The following is a 20587-nucleotide window of genomic DNA, read 5'->3' as shown; positions in this document are numbered from 1 at the left end:
GGGGGGGTTCATAACAAACAATATCAAACAACATTGTAAAAATTACTTCTCATTACATTGACCCTTGGCAAATCATAAAGCTTTTCACTCATTAAAACAAGCGTTAACTCTAAAATTACTTGCAGAACAGAAATCTGATTTAAATTGAAACCTTTAACAAGTTGAAACACAATTCACAGATGAAGTAAAGCAACAGCATGTTCAAATAAATGACAAATAAAACATTCTGTATATTAAATACATTAATTTTTAAGAAACACTTATTTTGGTATCTATATTATGTGTACCTATATATGAAATCTATATTATATCAATCTACATAATACATGTAGATATATTGTCTTTATTACTTTTTCTTCACAATTTACATAAAATAATTTTCTGATCATGTCACAAAACAATATATTGAAATCAAGGTAGAAAAATCAACTGAATCATTTAAATATATTGAAATCAAGGTAGAAAAATTAGCTGAAACTATAAAATAATTACAGATGAAAATGCTATCTTTGTTAACGTATTTATCAAAAACATACTTTGCCAAAGTTTGGTTAACAAATGCAATACATCAAATCACTATTCATATATTTTAATAATTGAAAGTTCTTCAGTAAAAACGAACTATTAAACCACATTTTGCCAAGATAGCAAACGGTATGGTAGAAATTACTCCATGCCACATCTAAAATATTGCAAGCTGATTTAGATACAAAAATAACAAAGCCAGGCGAAATGGCTCACACCTGTAATCCCAGCACTTTGGGAGGCAGAGGCAGGCAGATTGCCTGAGGTCAGGAGTTGGAGACCAGCCTGGCTAACATGGTGAAACACCATCTCTACTAAAAACACAAAAATTAGCTGGGTGTGGTGGCACATGTCTGTAATCCCAGCTGCTTGGGAGGCTGAGGCAGGAGAATCGCTTCAACCCAGGAGGAGAAGGTTGCAGTGAGCCAAAATTGCACCACTGCACTCCAGCCTGCGCAACAGAGCGAGACTCCATCTCACAATTAGACCTCTGAAGTCTTATTAATAGGTTGTGTCTAAGAAAACACATATTCTCAAGAAAATTCACTTGAAAAGATTAAAAACACTTCTATATTTATCAGGTTTTTAAAAATGTCCCCATTCCTGGTATTCATCATAAACAAATGGTTATGAACTCATTATAGGCTTCTATCATGCAACCACAACATTTTCAGCAATTTATTTAAATGAAGGGTTTTAAACTGGGGTAATAGTGGGTCAAATCTGTATTTGAGAGAGAGCATCCTGGAAGTAGTGTGTATGATGGATTATGAGACAGATACCTTTCAGAGATAAATAGTGGAAAATACCCAAACCAAATCATTTGCTCCTGCATACTGCTCTCACATCAGCTTAGTCCCCACAAATCACATCTGCCTTCTCCTTAAGCCCTCCTTAACCGACCTCAGTGCTGTCATCACTGTTCCCATACAGCACCAAGCCTATAATACACCATGCTGTCATAAATTAATTCTATAAGAAGTACTGCATGTGAAGTGAATTTGGATCACTTGGGTTATAGTGTTAGTTGCTTTTAAATCTTTTCACAAAGGAACGCACCCTGGAAAGGAGCTCAACGTGCAGTAAGCATGATTGATGGCAGAGGCTTTCCAAGTCTAAGCAACCAACTTTTCTTCTTTTGCCTTTTTTTTTTTAAAAGTATTGTAGCAATGAACTTTTGTTTTTTAGATATCTGGCAAGTTTTCTACCATTTCCCTTTACACTTTTCCTAAAAAGGAGTATTTTTCTGTATGTATTTGTCACTGAGAAGGACACATCGTTCAGAAAACAAAACCTTTTTTCTTTTAGAATAATTTCAACAGTCATTTTTATCCTAAGGTTTTGCCAAATTTTCAAAGCTTGTAAAAGTTTGTAAATAAAATTGAAAAGTCTTAGCTTCATTTGTAAAAAGATTTTACAATAGCTGATAGTTTATCTATAGTAAAAATATTTTTCTGAGAAATGTTTTATCTATTATATCACAATTTTATGTAAAAATCTAAATTTAAAATCTGTTATTATAAAGTTATTAATATATGTATATTTAATTATACTATAAAGTTACTTTACTAATAAAGTACTATATCCATTACAAAGTTACAATTAATAATAAAGTAACTTTAGGTCTAGGAAAGTCATTGAGGGCCAGGCATGATGACTCACACCTTTAACCCAGCATTTAGGCAGGCCAAAGCACGAGGATCACTTGAGGCCAGGAGTTTGAGACCAGCCTGGGTGACATAGCAAGACCCCACCTCTACCAAAAAAAAAAAAAAAAAAATTAAAGAAAATTAGCCAGGCATGGTGGTACATGCCCATAGTCCCAGCTACTCAGGAGGCTGAGGCAGGAGGATGACTTGAGCCCAGGAGGTCAAGGCTGCAGTGAGCTACGATTACTGCACTCCAGCCTGGGTGACAGAGTGAGATCCTGCCCCTAAAATAAAATAAAATATAAAGTGACTGAAAGAACATGTTCTGAATACGAGTTTAGGGCTCTGGTAGATATTTTTTTTTTTTTTTTTTTGAGACAGAGTTTTGCTCTTGTTGCCCAGGCTGGAGTGCAATGGTGCAATCTTGGCTCACTGCAACCTCTGCCTCCCGGGTTCAGGCGATTCTCCTGCCTCAGCCTCCGGAATAGCTGGGATTACAGGCGCCCACCACCACACCCGGCTAATTATTTTTGTATCTGGCAGATAATTTATTCAGTGGTCATCTAGCAAGCTGAGGCAGATTGTTAGATTTTGTCCCTCTACCCATTAGTTGTCAAAATGGGTATTTCAAGTCTCAGCACTGTGTACCAAGATAATCACTAGCTACAATAACACACTCAATACTTCCTTCTCTCTCCTGTCTAATCCCTTCTTTGCAAGTACTACATGCAGTTTAAATATTAGACAATAAAATATTATAAGCTCCCTTTAAGTCTGGGTCCAGATTTTGTTTTCCTTCTTAGTGCCCACTTTCTCTAGCACATAGCATGGCATACTTTGCAGCAGTAAATACTATTTTGTTAAGCAGATGAAACAGCAAGTCCCCCCTCCAGTCATGCAGATAACCCCACAAAATAGAGAAAATCTATTTACGTATATTGCTGACCACACATATACAGCCTGGTGACACCAGAAGGATGCTCTGCCAGAGATTAATTTTTTAGATTCTTTTTTAGTGAGAGAAGTGCTAGCTAGTTATTTTACCAGACTGATGTGTAATCAGTGAAAAGCTGAGTCTCCCAGAAGAGTAAATCACCCAAAATTACCATGGTATTTGCCTAAGGAGGGTAACGTGGGGTGAAGAGCCTTGAATATCTGGGGACAGGAGGCACAATAACACACTGCGTGTTTTGAGGATTCAAAATGAGAGCTGCTTTGTTCTCCTTCTGAACTGATCACATAGTAGGTAGGCACAATGGAAGTGATGAGGAAACCAGGGCTGACCCAGTGTTCCTGGGCCACCTGTCACTCCTAGAAACTGTAACACAGGGAATTCAAATATGGAGCATCTGTGCCCAGGCTTGTAACTACAAGGTGGGATCAGCACCTCTGAAAAATCACTGCAGCCTGTGCTGCAGAACAGCAGCCTATGCCAATACACTCTCAACAACAGGGTAGTAAGCAACAGCAGAAGCCCTAGAGGACCAGGCTCTGGCTGTTTTTATGTCCTCTGTAGGAAAAAGGCTGATCCACTCCTCTTCACCTCCACATGAGATCAATAAACACAGAGGTTTCACAACAATTCAGGTGGCAATGGGACAGACCTAAGAAAGGATACTAAATTTCATTCCAATAAACCTACAGAGGTTCAACTGGAGAAAAAGTAAATTTTAAGAAAAAAATGGTAATAAATTTGACTACACTTGAAGCCTGGGTTTTAGGAACAACACATGCTGGTTATATGTGGTACACATTTCTGTCTGTGCATACTTTCAGCCATTAAAACACAACAGATTCATGCTATTAACTTGGGCTAAAAATCCTTCCTTTTTTGGTATGCAAAACAACTTTTCAAGGATAAAAGTATTTTTTAAAAATAGGCTGATTTATATGCCAGATGTAAGCAACATCTTTTCTGACTGCTGGTTACTTTTTGTTGTTTCTTTGTTACTATAACCTTCTCTCATGGTAATTCAGTGTTTACAGCAACTCACAAAGGTATCAGATTTCTCGAGTATTAAAGATTGGCTGTTCTTTCTGTCTCCTCAAACATCCATTGGACTTTGTGATGTTTAGCGAGGTTTAATCAGAAAGGGGCCCTGTACTGATGGAAGCCTTTCCCCAACAATCCTTTATTTCTAGGTACACAGTAATTCTCTTCATAATAGATTACATAATTTTATACAATCAAATTACAAAATGTCATTGGGAGAAAATTAGTTTAAATATGTTCTATGACAAATAATGTTATAGTTTTGATGCCAGGTGTAGGGAAAAGCAATACGTAAATGTTTAAGTGGTACATGCTTAACAGCAGCAGCAGCAGCAACAGCAACAAAAACACATACATAAAAGAAGGCAGGGAAGCAATCGGATCAGTAATCAAAGGACATCTAACAGGACTTCCACTTCCAGACATGACAGGGTAACTCACACCAGACATGCCTCCCGCCAAAACACAATGAACTACTCAAAAACATATGAAGCAATTGTTTTCAAGCAATGGACAGGTGACCCAGAACTACAATCCTTAAAATCTAGGGAACACAAGAGGCGAGCCCCATGTTGGACCTGAATTTCTGCCATGGGGCATATTTTGGGCCATGGCACAGGGAAATGGAACCTAAACAGAGCTCGAGTCCTGCAGACCTGAAGAGGAATAGATCAGAGTTGGGGGCAAGTGAAGCACCTGAAAGATGCAGGACAGGGCACCAAAGATGAAAAGGCTGTAAGGAGGTCAAGACGGTGCTATGATTTGAATGTTTGTGTCCCCACCTCTAAATTCATATGTTGAAACCTAGTCACCAATGCAATGGTCTCAGGAGGTGGGGCCTTTGGGAGGTCCTAAGGGTGAAACGCTCATGAGTGGAATTAGTGCCCTTACAAAAGATGCCTCAGAGAGCTGCCTTGCTCCATTCTACCACATGAGAACACAGTGAAAAAGTGTCATCTATGAATCAGAAAATAAGCCCTCACCAGATCTGCTGGCACCTTGATCTTGGAACTCCCAGCCTGCAGAACTCAGCAATACATTTCTGTTGTTTATAAGCTACCCCATTTATGGTATTTGTTTACAGCAGCCTGAATGGATTAAGACAGAGGAGCATAAAAACTAACACACTGGAGAGCATAAAACAAACAGTAAGTAGAACTCAGATCAACAGATAACTTCTAGTCTTGAGATAAGGGCAAGAAAAACATTACATTAAAAAAAAAGAAGAAGAACAAAGTTCACTGACCTGTAGAAGAATACCAAATTATCTAATGTGCGTAACCAGAGTTCCAGAAAGAGAGGAAATGTGGAACAGAAAAATATTTGAAAAATTAATAAAAGGAAACTTGCCAATTTGGGAATAAAGAAAACCCCAAGAAGGGTAAATATAAAAAATCCTGTATCAAGACACATCATATACAAACTGCTAATACCAAAGATAAAGATAAAAGATTAAAGAGAGAAATCTTAATGCAGTCATAGAAAAGGATACAGGGTAACAATGATACAAATTATGGCTGACTTCTCATCAGAAACAATGGCGGCCAGGAAATAATGGAAGATCTTCCTTAAAGTGCTCAAAGAAAAAAGTCTTGTCAATCCAGAATTTTATTTCCAGAGAAAATATTCTTCAAAAGTGAAAATGAAATAACATTTTTGCATAAAGAAAAACTGAGATAGTTCACTGCCAGTAGAACTGCACTAAAACAAATACTAAAGGAAATACTTCAGGCTGAAGAGAAATGACAGATGGAAACTAAATCTAGAGGAAAAAATGGCCAGGTGCAGTGGCTCACACCAGTAATCTCAGTGCTTTAGGAGGCCAGGAGATTGAGATCAGCTTGGGCAACACAGCAAGACTGTGTCTCTTAAGAAAAGAAGAATAGAAAGCACAGGAAATGGTGAATATTCAGGTAAATATTGTTTAGGTTTTTTTTTTTTTTTTTTTTTTTTTTTTTTTTTTTTTTTTGTGACAGAGTTTCGTTCTTGTTGCCCAGGCCGGAATGCAACGGCATGATCTCGGCTCACCACAACCTCTGCCTCCTGTGTTCAAGCGATTCTCCTGCCTCAGCCTCCTGAGTAGCTGGGATTACAGGCATGCGCCACCACGCCTGGCTAATTTTGTATTTTTAGTAGAGATGGGGTTTCTCCATGTTAGTCAGGCTAGTCTTGAACTCCCAACCTCAGGTGATCCACCCACCTTGGCCTCCCAAAGTGTTGGGATTCCAGGCATGAGCCACCGCACCCAACCTTAGTATTTTACAGACAACTGACTTGCAAAAATAATATTATCTAATGGAGTTTACAGCATACATTGAAATAAAATATATGACACAGTAGTACAAAAGGAGGAGGGTAAAAGGAAGTATACTGTTGTAAAATATGCACAATAATATAAAAATGCATGTAATTTGTATGAAATGGCACAATATTCTAAATGTAGTAAGTTAAGGGAGGATATTGTGAACCCTAGAGAAAAGCCAATGGAGGAAATAAAGCAGAACACTAAAACATACTCAAGTAATCCAGAAACAGAAAGGAAGCAAAGAGGAACCAGAAACAAATGGTGAAAGTCAGTTGGGAAGAAGGAGGACTTAATTCCAATTTGAAAATAGAAACTCCAAAGAGATCATCACTCTCACCCTAACAACTAAAACAAGCTGAATAAAAACCCATCAGAGACTGAGGACATAGGGAAATGTAAATCAACTCCAGAGTGAGAAGCACATTTTCAAAGACAAGAGATCCTCGGCTGCTATCATCCCTGACTGAAATAGAGGTGGGAAAAGAAATCTGCCACAGACAAGGGTTAAAGAAAAATCAGTCTAACTTTGAAAGCTATATGTGGACATACCCGTGTAGAACCCAGAGGATTCGTAGGTATAGAAAGACTGTACGAGGCTGGGCGCGGTGGCTCACGCCTGTAATCCCAGCACTTTGGGAGGCCGAGGCGGGTGGATCATGAGGTCAGGAGATCGAGACCATCCTGGCTAACAAGGTGAAACCCCGTCTCTACTAAAAATACAAAAAATTAGCCGGGCGCGGTGGCGGGCGCCTGTAGTCCCAGCTACTCGGGAGGCTGAGGCAGGAGAATGGCATGAACCCGGGAAGCGGAGCTTGCAGTGAGCCGAGATTGCACCACTGCAGTCCGCAGTCCGGCCTGGGCGACAGAGCGAGACTCCGTTTCAAAAAAAAAAAAAAAAGACTGTACGATTAATAAATCCCCCTGCTCAACACAGACACACACACACTCCGTCCCACCAACCTTTACCAAAAATGAGGGCAAGAAAAGAGAGAAAGAGCTGAGATAATCTCCTCAATGTACACTAGGCTTCCAGCAAGGGAAAACCTGGAGGATAGGCAGTAACAGAAAAGCCAAGAGAAACTTCTCACAGGCAAGACCCACCATCACAGAGTACAGGGCAATGACAGTCAACCTTTACAGGCCAAGGATGGAGCAGCAGGACTCAAAGAGCTCTCGAGGCACAGAAAGTCAGAAGCCAAACTGGAGAGCAAAGAGAATTCCTCAGCAACTGAACCTGCTGGCAGCTGGTCTTTAAAGCATGGAGATATCTCCTATAATTCAAAAAGATTTGGAATAGCCCATAAATACATGAGAAGGTGCTAAATAACATCAGTCAAGAGAGATATGCAAATTAAATAAAATTCAAAAAAATGCAATACTACTTCACACCCACTATGATGGCTAAACAAACAGACAACACCAAATGTTGACAAGAATGTGGAGTAACTGCACCTCTCATATATTGCTGACAGAACAGTGTAAAATGGCATAACCACTTTGAAAACTAACTGGCAAATTTTAAATATTGGATATAAAATTACAAAACTATATTCAAAGGCTTTTCAATGACAACAAAGAAACATGGTAAAATGTTAAGTCTTTTAAGAGAATATAACATGTGACAAGTCTCAGCATGGACTATGGAGAAGGGGTTTGTTAAGCAGATATCAACTGGTGCCTACTGTGGTCAAATGGGGATAACATCACAGGCCCTCACATTTCTTTCCCACCTTTAGAATACCCTCCCATAGTATGTCTCCAAACATAATCAAGCATTTAGGGGACGTGTGCTTAGCCCCTTACAGACTTAAATCATAACATCTGAAATCACCTCATGAGATGCATAAAGTGAATCAAATAATTCATAAGACCCAGTCAAGTGCTACTCATGGTGGCAAGAAATAATAAAGCCTATATACATGGCTCAATCAAAAGTTCCTATCCAAAATGTATAACTATTAAGGTATATAATTTTACTCAAAACAAGCAAAACCAAACACAAATAGAAACAAACCTAGGAAAATAAAATCACAAGTATATGCCTCGAATTTCTTGTGTAACAGGTGAGATATAAATAAATTATGTGAAAGTAGTCACAAAACATATACCCTTCACTGGTTATTAAGAAGCAGTCAATGACATTAGAAGTACATCCTTAACCTCTAAGAATATATAATGGAAGGCAATGACTATATTCTACCACATCATGTTTTTATATTACAGGAAAACACAGAATAATACAACACCCAGAACAATGGTTTATCACAGAATTGTTTTTTGTGGGGGTTTGGGGACAGAGTCTCACTCCGCTGTCCAGGCTGGAGTGCAATACTGCAATCAGAGTTCACTGCAGCCCTTGATATCCTGGGCTCAAGAGATTCTCCCGCCCCAGCCTCCCAAGCAGCTAGGACTAAGGTGTGTGTCACCATGCACGGCTAATTTTTTTTTTTTATTGTTGGATTTTAGTAGAGACAAAGCCTCACTATGTTGCCCTGGCTGGTCTCGAACTCCTGGCTTCAAGCGATCCTGATCCTCTCGCCTCAGCTTCCCAAAGTGGTGGGATTACAGATGTGAACCACCATGCCTGGCAGAATTGTATTTTTTGTATATTCTTTAAATGTATGTAAAAAAAAGTTCATAAATACAGCATTATATTCATGAATTTTGGTTGTATATCTTATGTAAGTTTCATATAGGAAAATGTTAGGAAAATGTAAAGTATTATCTTTACTGATACATTTTCTAGGCAATCTTCAAAAGAGTATCTCATTTTCTGTGTATCTGAATGTACAAACTTGATGAAAGCTAGAATGATGAAACACCATTGGCCTGATGATATACAATAAAGGAAAGACCATATTCCTGTATTGTGTCAAAAATTTTTATATTAACTATAGTTAGAAAAAATAAGACATTCATTATATGAGAATAAAAAAATATTTTTTAAAACACAGTCACTGCTGACTGGTGCCATTTTTTTCTTTTTTTCTTTTTTTTTTGAGGCAGGGTCTCACTCTGTCACCCAGGCTGGAGTGCAGTGGTGCAATCTCGGCTCACTGCAACCTCCGCCTCCCAGGTTCAAGCAGTTCTCCTGTTTCAGCCTCCCAAGTAGCTGAAACTATAGGCACAATGCCACCACACCCGGCTAATTTTTGTATTTTTAGCAGAGATGGGGTTTCACCATGTTAGCCAGGCTGGTCTCGAACTCCTGACCTCAGGTGATCCACCCACCTCGGCCTCCCAAAGTGCTGGGATTACAGGTGTGATCCACTGCGCCCAGCCTGACTGGTGCCATTTTTTTTTTTTTTTTTTTTTTTTGAGACGGAGTCTTGCTCTGTCGCCCAGGCCGGACTGCGGACTGCAGTGGCGCAATCTCGGCTCACTGCAAGCTCCGCTTCCCGGGTTCACGCCATTCTCCTGCCTCAGCCTCCCGAGTAGCTGGGACTACAGGCGCCCGCCACCGCGCCCGGCTAATTTTTTGTATTTTTAGTAGAGACGGGGTTTCACCTTGTTAGCCAGGATGGTCTCGATCTCCTGACCTCATGATCCACCCGCCTCGGCCTCCCAAAGTGCTGGGATTACAGGCGTGAGCCACCGCGCCCGGCCTGGTGCCATTTTTATACACAGTATTGAATCTATATATTAAGGCCAGAACATAAAGTCTAAAAATTAATCCATTAGTATGTTTTAATTTAGACATTTCTGTACTTGAAAAAACAAAGAAATACCATAGATTTTTTCATTCATGGGTTTAACATGCATAATTTTTAACATTCTCTTGCAACCCTGAAGTTCTATGACAGGTAGTAATTTGTAATTTTATTTGAGTCACATATTTCACTTAGATACACTAAAAGGCTGGTTGGTGTTCTCGAGTTGGTTTTACTCAAAAGAGTAAAAATAATCTCAGACAAATTAACATCTGTATCTTTCTCTGCTCATTCTTGAATACACAGTAACTTTCATATAATACCTGAAGCATAAGTTTTTTATTTTTTAATTATCTATCTTTTTTTAATATAGGAAACCATATATGACAGTGGAATTTGCTAATACGTGGATTCACAAAGCAAGGTCTCTGGATGCTCCTCCCAAGAAATCAAAGGGTTTAATGGTGGCTCTCAATAAAATGCAAGATTTTAGTACTGCCTATCTATAAGGCACATTCATAATTTATTTACATGTTCATCAGGCAGAACTGAAAATCCTAAGGCTCAAATTTAAATTGTTCTACTAAATTTTAGTATGATTCCTTTTAAAATCAAAGTTAACATACTAGGTCAGGCATGGTGGCTCACACCTATAATCCCAACACTTTGGGAGGCTGAGGCAGGTGGATCACTTGACGTCAGGAGTTTGAGACTAGCCTAGCCAACATGGCAAAACCCTGTCTCTACAAAAAATACAAAAATTAGCCAGGCATGGCTTCACGTGCCTGTAGTCCAAGCTACTTGGAAGGCTGAGGCATGGGAATCACTTGAACCCGGGAGGCGGAGGCTGCAGTGAGCCGAGATCACGCCACTGCACTAGAGCCTGGGCAACAGAGTGAGACTCTGTTAAAAACAGAAAAAAAAAGTCAACCAGGCACGGTGGCTCATGCCTGTAATCCCAGAACTTTGGGAGGCCAAGGCAGGTGGATCACAAGGTCAGGAGATTGAAACCACCCTGGGCAACATGGTGAAACCCTATCTCTACCAAAAATACAAAAATTAGCTGGGTGTGGTGGCACGCGCCTGTAATCTCAGCTACTCAGGAGGCTGAGGCAGGAGAATCGCTTGAACCTGGGAGGCAGAGATTACAGTGAGCTGAGATTGTGCCACTGCACTCCAGCCTGACGACAGGGCAAGACTCTATCTCAAAAAAAAAAAAAAAAAAAAAAAAAAAAAGTTAATGTACATTAGTTACCTCACTAGAGAGTAAGAGAGAAAACATTGTATGCATTTGACTTTTGGATAGTAAAATGATTATATCACGCAAAGTTCACCTAAATTCTCTTATGTGAAATTCAGAACTGAAGTAACTCTTTGTACAAATATTTTGCCAGAGCAGTGATTCAAAGGGATATTGGATGCAATGCACAATTGTAGTAATTGTAGCTATATCTAAAATATAAATTCTACCTTCTTACATTTGCATCACAAAAAAGACTCTTAGTAATATTTCACCCATTCTTTAGTTTCATCTTCAAACAAATGGACAAATACTTATAAATACATCTACAGCTCATTGCCTAGACATAGAGTGAGAAATATGAATACAGATTTATAATAGACAAGAAACTATAGTGTGCTAGAGACTATGATTACCTGGAGGTAGGAATTGCAGTTGGTTATTAGCTAATCGAAGATGACGTAAAGCTCTCAGACGACCAATTTCTGGGCAAACAATTTCTAAGGCATTGTCACTAAGATCCAGACATTGGAGTTTTACAAGAGACCCAATGGCTTCAAAGAGAAAAGGAGAAGGCAAAATGAATTTGACTCAAGTATTACATCAAATCTTTAAAGCAAGTATTCCAAGTTAAAATATTTTACTACTTAATTTCCTTGTCTCAGTTGCTCACAAAATAGTAAAAACACAGATCAAACTAAGTTCATGAAAGTGATAAATACTTCCAGCTCAAGATAAAATATAACTTAAAATACAGCACAAATAAAAACATTAAGACTAAAATAAATCAAGAAATGATACACAGGGCTTTTTTTATCTGACCAGAATTCTTAACTAGATTTATTAAATTTACAACTTATTATCTACCTAATAGCAATTTATCCAACAATAGTTTACCTAACCATTATAACCATTTTAGATTTATTTAATTATAGTTCTTAACTGGACTTATTAGAAGAAAAAAGTTTTGAAGCTAAAAAATTAAAGGTGTCTTAAAAATAAAATTTGATCTATTTATAAAGCAAAGCTTAAATTATATTATCTTCTAACTAAAATTTTTAAGTTAAACATACCTTCCGGAACCACAACTATGTTATTTGAGTGCAGGTATCTAGGAAGGAAAAAGAAAAAAAACAGCCATTATCATTAAGTACTTTTGCCAGATAATCAGTTTATAAAATGCTCACTTAGAAATTTATCAAATATAAATAGGCCACAACTTTTGCACCCTACTCTAATGCATCAACATACAATAATGGTTATCACAGCTAACTAATAATACTTTGAGAAAAATATTTTGTACCAGAATTGCAAATATTAAATCTATTTACTGATTTAGTTGTTATTTTAAAATAAAAGCATACATAATGGATAAACTATAAGGTCTTTTTAACTTCATAACACAAATTACTAGTTTTTCCAGTTCATTTTATTCAGGCTTTAAAAAATATACTTACTGTGTGAAGAAAAATCAACACCTATTGTGTAAAGGAAGATGAACTTTTCGTTTCTAAAAAATAACTTCACAAAATAAAGATATTTCTAGCTAGCATGCATACGGAGAACCAACAACAGATTAAATATCATTTACAGTGTCTGTAGAAATACTCAACTGTCGAGGTACAGAATTTATTTCATGGCAAAAGAAATTTTGTAACAAGAAATCAAATGCTTCTCTTAAAAAATCTTTTTCACAGAGGCTGAGAAGTCTAGACAAGCCTAAGTAACAATTTTCCCACTACAGTGTCTTTAGCACACTCTGGTGGAGACTTCCTGCAATCAGTAACCAACTATTCAGAGCAAAACAAGTGAATGCTGGAGATCACACAACAATAATTTAAGAAAATAAATTTATATCATTGATTTAGAGACAAGAGAACAAGATTTTAGTAAAAACCTATGGTTTTATTTATTGTACTTTAAAAATAAATCTTTATGGCCGGGCGCGGTGGCTCACGCCTGTAATCCCAGCACTTTGGGAGGCAAGGAGGGCGGATTGCCTGACCTCAGGAGTTCGCGACCAGCCTGAGCAACAAGGTGAAACCCCATCTCTACTAAAATACAAAAAAATTAGCCAGGCGTGGTGGCGTGCATCTGTAGTCCCAGCTACTTGGGAGACTGAGGCAGGAGAACTGCTTGAACCTGGGAGGCGGAGGTTGCAGTGAGCCGCGATTGTGCCACTGCACTCCAGCCTGGGCAACAGAGTGAGACTCCGTCTCAAAAACAAAAACAAACAAACAAACAAAAAATTTATAAAGTACTTTTAAATAGAATTCAGAAGTTTTCTTCTGCATTCTTAAAGTCTAATATTGAATATTAAAATGTCAATAAACACAAAATAAGACAGAAAATTGATAATTTTATGAAGATTATTTTATGTTGAATTAAATCAATTTTGTAGAAGGTTAACTAACCTGCTGGGTATAACACAATTTAAATAAGCCCACCATTTACTCTATGATACATTTCATTCCTTGCTTTCTGTATATGAAATCAATACTCTTTAAACATTAATTTTAGGAAGGAATACCTAAATCAAAATAGAGAACTGATTAAAAAAATTTTTTTCAACAAAATACTTGCCTCAATTCAAGTTCCACCTATAAAAAAGACGTTAAAATGTCCAAATCAAAATATGAACTAAAGTACCCACTATTATGATTAGAATTTTTCAAACAGACTTTAAAATATTATCTACATATAATCAAGATGCTGTATGAAATAGTACACAGTGGCTGCCCATGGATGCTGCTGAGGAAGCATCGTTAAAGTCTCTCCTCCCCCTGCCGTCAAGTCTAAGTCAGTCTCCTAAAGAGCCCGAACAGCTGAGGAAGCTCTTCATTGGAGGCCTGAGCTTTGAAACAACCGATGAGAGCCTGAGGAGTCACTCTGAGCAATGGGGAACGCTCACGGACTGTGTGGTCATGGGAGATCCCAACACCAAGCACGCCAGGGGCTTTGGGTTTGTCACTATACCACTGCGGAGGAGGTGGATGCAGCCATGAATGCAAAGCCACACAAGGTGGACAGAAGAGTTGTGGGACTAAAGACAGCTGTCTCAAGAGAAGATTCTCAAAGACCAGGTGCCTACTTAACTGTGAAAAAGATATTTGTTGATGACATTAAAGAAGACACTGAAGAACATTACCTAAGATTATTTTGAACAGTATGGAAAAATTGAAGTGATTGAAATCATGACTGACTGAGGCAGTGACAAGAAAAGGGGCTTTGATTTTGTAACCTTTGATGACCATGACTTCGTGGATAAGACTGTCACTCAGAAATACCATAATGTGAATGGCCACAACTGTGAAGTCAGGAAAGCCCCATCAAAGCCAAGAGATGGCTAGTGCTTCATCCAGCCAAAGAGGCTGAAGTGATTCTGGAAATTTTGATGGTGGTCGTGGAGGTGGTTTTGATGGGAATGACAACTTTGGTCGTGGAGGAAACTTCAGCAGTCATGATGGGTTTGGTGGCAGCCATGGTGATGGTAGATATGGTGGCAGTGGGGATGGCTACAATGGATTTGGTAATGATGGAAGCAATTCTGGAAGTGGTGGAAGCTACAATGATTTTGACAATTGCAATAGTCAGTCTTCAAATTTTGAACCCATGAAGGGAGGACAATGGTGGCAGAAGCTCTGGCTCCTATGGGGGTGGAGTCCAATACTTGGCCAAACCATGAAACCAAAGTGGCTATGCCAGTTCCAGTAGCAGCAGCAGCTATGGCAGTGTCAGAAGATTTTAATTACTGCCAGGAAACAAAGCTTAGCAGGAAAGGAGAGCAAGAGAAGTGACAGGGAAGCTACAGGTTACAACAGTTTTGTGAACTCAGCCAAGCACAGTGGTGGCAGGGCCTACCTGCTACAAAGAAGACATGGTTTAGACAAATACTCATGTATATGGGCAAAAAACTCGAGGACTGTATTTGTGAATAACTGTATTATTTTAGTTTCTGTTCTGTGGAAAGTGTAAAGCAGTCCAACAAAGGGTTTTAATGTAGATTTTTTTTTTTGCACTCATGCTGTTGATTGCTAAATATAGTAGTGTGATCATGACGCTGAATAAATGTATCTTTAAAAAAAGATAACAGAGTGTTGCCAATCCTGACTGCACATTAGAATCACCAGGGGTCTTATTGGTACCCAAAACCATCCTGCAGCAAGTGAAACACCATCTCAACTCAAATAATCCTGATGTACAACCGATTAAGAACCATTACTGGTAAAGTGGATCAGAGAGCGGGCTCTGAAGCCACACTACCTGCACCTTAATAGCCATGTGACTATGGAGAAATCACTGAACTGCTCTCTCTCCTAATCTGTGATGTTGCAGGGACTAAATGAATTAATAAATGTAAAGCTCTTAGAACAGTGCTTGGCTCCTGGTAAGAGTTAAATGAATGCTCTTATTATTGTTATTATAGTTATTATGAGTCATTTGTAATCACAGGCTTAGGACTTTCAAATTTAAGTCACTTCCTTTTACTTAATTTTGGTAATTTCAGAGTAGTTGAAATGTTGATGTTTCAATGTTCTTATTAAAATAAAATGTTCCTCTTCTCAAATAATGCAGGAACTCTCATTCATTGTTGGTGGGGAATGTCACTTTGGGGTATACTCATTTTGGAAAATGGCTTGGCAGTTTTTTTTAAATGTTAAATATGATGTTTACTTAATAGGAATATTCCAGAGTCAGTTTCTTAGTTTTGACAAATGTACCATGGAATTCCTTTTTTTTTTTTTTTTTTTTGAGAAGGAGTCTCCCTCTGTCGTCCAGGCTAGAGTGCCGTGGCTCGATCTCTGCTCACTGCAACCTCTGCCTCCTGGGTACAAGTGATTCTCCTGCCTCAGCCTCCTGAGTAGCTGGGATTACAGGTGCGCACCACCACACCCGGCTAATTTTTTTTTGTATTTTCAGTAGAGATGGGGTTTCAGCATGTTGGTCCAGCTGGTCTCAAACTCCTGACCTCGTGATCCACCCACCTCGGCCTCCCAAAGTGCTGGGATTACAGGCATGAGCCACCATGCCTGGCCTGTACCATGGAATTCTAAGATGTTAACAACAGGACAAACTGGGTAAGGGGTACACCAGTATGACCCATACTATGTTTATAACTTTTCTATAAATATAAAATTGTTCCAAAATAAAAAAAGTTTTAAAAAATAATTTTTAGTTTGGGTGTGGTGGCTCACGCCTGTAATCCCAGCACTTTGGGAGGCCGAAGTGGGTGGATCACCTTAGGTGAGGAGTTTGAGACCAACCTGACCAACATGGAGAAACCTCGTCTCTACTAAAACTACAAAAATTAGCTGGGCATGGTGGCACATGCCTGTAATCCCAGCTACCTGGGAGGCTGAGGCAGAAGAATCTCTTGAACCCAGGAGGCGGAGGTTGCAGTGCACTGAGATGTTGCCACTGACTCCAGCCTGAGCGACAAGAGCGAAATTCCATCTCAAAAAAAAAAATTTTTAATTAAAGAAACAGGACTTCTACTTTCAGTCAGGATGAATAACAACAATGGAGTAAATGGGATTTTCCCAACTGTTCTAAACAACAAGAAAACCAGATGAAATACAGTCACATGCCACTTAATGACTGGGATATGTTCTAAGAAATGTGTCGTTAGGTGATTTCCTTGTTATGCAAACATCATAGGGTGTTCTTACACAAACCTAGATGGTATAGCCTACCACACACCTAGGTTACAAGGTGTAGTTGCTCTTAGGCTACAAATCTGGACAGTATGTTATCGTATTGAATACTGTAGACAACTGTAACACAATCAGACAACTGATACACGATGTATTTGTGTATCTAAACATATGTAAACATAGAAAAGGTACAGTAAAAACACAGTATTATAATCTTATGAGACCACCATTATGTATGTGGCCTGTCATTGACATAATTATGCTGTGCATGACTGTACATGAAACAATTATTTTCAGATATTAACAAAGGCAACTAGGACTACATTCCCTAAGAGAAAGGAAGTAAGCCACACAATCTCCCTAGCTTTCACCCTAGGGGCAAATTCTGGACTGTAGAACAGGAAGGAAATCCCAAAGTACAGAAGTCTTACTGAGTTATGGAGACACATATCAGAGTTCAGGGAACCTGAGGCAACTGGAAGTTGTGGGGTAAAGTTCTGAAGAAGAGAGAGCTACTGCTACAAAAAAAAAAAAAACCTCCAAAAATTTGCATAAGGAATCCCTTGGCCTCACTCATAGCTGAATTCTAGAACAAACACACATAAGAAAAACTCTAACAGGATACAGTGGGTCATGGGTCATACCTGTAACCCTAGCTACTTGGGAGGCTGAAGCAGGAGGATCACTTGAGGACAAGAATTCAAGACCAGCCTGAGCAATATAATGGGACCCCCATCTCAAAAAATAATAGAAGAAAAATAAAAGGTACTCCAGGCAAAAAGCACCTGAAAATCAATCAGCTGAACAGCCTGCAAAGCTCACAGTGTTGAGAGACATTCAAGTTCTGAGCAAGTATGCCAAATCCTTGTTGATCATTTGAGGTATTCAAGAGAGATCCTGGAAAGCTCATGCTTTAGTAATAGGGCTAACCTAACCACCTATCCTAACAAAGTATAAAAATAAGCCATAAAAGGATCAAAGTAAACTGCAAATAGCTGCATGCCAGAAAAAAGGGACACAATAAAATTTAGACTCTCAAAAATGCAAACTTTATAAGGTCCATCCAATCAAAAAGTATTAGACATGCCAAGAATCAGGAAAATATGACCCATAACCAGGAGAAAAATCAGTCAGTACAAATAGAACCAGTATGACACAGATGACAGAATTAGCAAACAGGACATTAAAATAGCTATAATAACTATATTCAGCTATTTAAATGAAAATATGAACATTATAAGAACTGTAAGATAAAGAAAAATAAACAGAACTTCCAAATATCATAAATACAGTAACAGGCTGGGCACAGTGGCTCACTCCCATAATCCCAGAGCTTTGGGAGGCTGAGGCAGGAGGATCACTTGAGCCCAGGAGTTTGATGTTACAGTGAGCCATGATTGCATCACAACACTCCAGTGTAACTCCTGGGTGACAATGTAAGACCCTGTCTCAAAAACACACACAGAAAGCCAGCCTGGGCAACACAGCAAATCCCCATGTCTATGAAAAAATTTAAAATTTAGCTGGGCATGGTGGTGCATGCCTGTACTTCTAGCTACTTGGGAGGCTGAGATGGGAGGATCCCTTGAGCCCAGGAGTTCAAGGCTGCAACGAGCTAGGATAGAGCCACTGCACTCCAGCCTGGGCGACAGAGCAAGACCCTGTCCCTTAAAAAAAAAAAAATACAGTAACCAAAGAGAAAACTTCACTGAGTGGGATTAGTATAGTACATTAGACACTGAAGAAGAAAATATTACTGACTTTTAACACAGAACATACAATTTGTCCAAACTGAAGCACATAGGGAATAAAAGTCTGAAAAGGAAATGAAAAGTCTTAGTGACTACGAGACAGTATTAAACAGTCTAACAAACAGGTAAGAGTTCCACAAGCAGGGGCCAGGAACAGGGTATATAAATAAATATCTGAAAAAACAATGTCAAAAGTTTTCCAAATTTGATAAAAACTGTTAAGACACAACCCCAAGAAACCCCATGAACCTCAAAGGTAAGAAAGAAGAAAACTACAACAAGATACACCTAAATCAAACCCTTAAAATTAGTGTAAAAAATGAAAACCCTTCAAAGTAGCCCAAGGGAGAAAAAGACACATACACACAAAGGAACAAATATAACAACTGTAGATGTTTCTTCAGAAACTATGCACGCCAGGGAATAATGAATATCATGAACGTGCTGATAACAACAACAACAAAAAAAATGGTCACTAAGAATTCTAATCCCAGAAAAAAATTTTAAAAATATAGGTGATAAATGTACAATAAAAAACTGTAAGACTTTGGGGTGGGGGCGGGGAAAGGAGAGAGTCTTTGGGACCTAGGGCTAGACACAGAGTTTTTAGACTTGCCATCAAAAGCATGACACATCAAAGCAAAAAATGATAAACTGGACCTCATCAAAATGTAAAACTTTTGCTCTGCAAAAGAACATAAACAGGATGAAAACACAAGCTATACACTGGGAGAGAATATTTGTAAACAACATATAGAACAGAAAACTAGTTTACAAAGAACTCTTAAAACTCAGAAATTAAAAAAAATACAATCAGAAGATGAGCAATAGACATGGACAGGCATTTCACCAAAAAAAGATGCCAATGACAAATTAGTATACAAAAGGATGTTCAATATCATTAGTCATTCTAGAAATACAAATGGAAATTCCAATGTCATAAAAACCACATATCTATCCAAATGACTAAAATAACAAAGACAACACCAAATGCTGGTAAGATGTGCGGACGCTGGAACAATCATACATTGCCAGGGGAAATGTAAAATGGAACAGCTAATCTGGTAAACCGGCAGTTTTTTACAAAACTAAAAATTTTGAGCAACAGTGGTAGAGTAAGAACCTCCAAAAATTCTCTTCCATAAAAACAATGAGAAACTGTCAGAAATGTCCAAATGCTACATGTTGAGAACTCTGGAAATGAACCTAAGGCTTACCATAATACAGGGAGAATTTATCCAAGAAAAAAATGACTGAGCGTCAGTAAGAACCGTGGGTTGTAGGCTTCATGGTATTTTCGCTTGCTCTAGTCCTAACCCCACTCTCCTGCTCTGCAGAAGCCTGAAAAACCAACAGTTCACAATCAAAGAGAAAAGCAGTAGCAAGGGGGTAGGACCACGTTAGAGTGCCTTCAAAGCTTCCTTCTCAGAGAACTGTCAAAGATTTGTCTCAAGGTTCCCTGGAAGACCCAGTTGCAAGGCTGTCTTTATTCCGTCTGAGTAGCAGATTGCCCAGGGCAAAAACCACTGTAAACTGAAACAAATTACAGGCAATTGTTTAACTTCACAGCTGCTTGAAACAGTTGTAACAAACAACTGACAAACCACAAACTGTAAAAGGAAAAGCTTTCAAAATGTGGAAACCACTCAAATGTCTATCAACTGATGAACAGATAAACAAAAAGTCATGTATCTATTCAACGGAATATTATTCAGCCATAAAAAGGAATTAATTCTGATACCTGCTACAACATGAATAAACCTTGAAAACATTATGCTATGTTAATGCAGCCAGATACAAAAGGTCACATATTGTCTCAT

General features: G+C 38.5%; 1 protein-coding gene and 1 pseudogene across 24 annotated transcripts in view, besides 1 other annotated feature; one reads left to right on the top strand and one right to left on the bottom strand.

The window, feature by feature from the left end:
* The window catches only part of LRRC28 (leucine rich repeat containing 28), a 139249-nt gene that overhangs the window by 91000 nt on the left and 27662 nt on the right, over nucleotides 1-20587 (bottom strand). For 23 of the 24 annotated variants that reach the window (NR_135755.2, NR_135759.2, NR_135757.2 and 20 more), the window contains 2 exons: nucleotides 12436-12473; nucleotides 11779-11916 (listed from right to left, as the gene is read on the bottom strand). Coding sequence is in view for 14 of the 24 variants with exons in the window: in NM_001321675.2 (NP_001308604.1) it covers nucleotides 11779-11916; nucleotides 12436-12473 (176 nt within the window). In the remaining 10 variants the exon portion in view is untranslated. Of the gene's footprint in view, nucleotides 1-11778; nucleotides 11917-12435; nucleotides 12474-13945; nucleotides 13963-20587 lie in introns of all 24 variants that reach the window. The other variant, XM_047432150.1, reaches the window with a different exon arrangement.
* Nucleotides 1120-1320: a silencer, noted in NCBI's record as "peak2447 fragment used in MPRA reporter construct". NCBI's record gives its function as "represses an SCP1 promoter by STARR-seq MPRAs in K562 erythroleukemia cells {active_cell/tissue: K562}" and the evidence as "EXISTENCE:reporter gene assay evidence [ECO:0000049][PMID:32103011]".
* Nucleotides 14098-15305, top strand: HNRNPA1P62 (heterogeneous nuclear ribonucleoprotein A1 pseudogene 62; annotated as a pseudogene).

The sequence above is a fragment of the Homo sapiens genome, chromosome 15, assembly GCF_000001405.40.
Source record: "Homo sapiens chromosome 15, GRCh38.p14 Primary Assembly".
In the NCBI taxonomy this organism is placed as follows: domain Eukaryota; kingdom Metazoa; phylum Chordata; class Mammalia; order Primates; family Hominidae; genus Homo; species Homo sapiens.
Note: the sequence above shows the minus strand (reverse complement) of the source record. Positions and strands in the feature narration are given on the sequence as shown.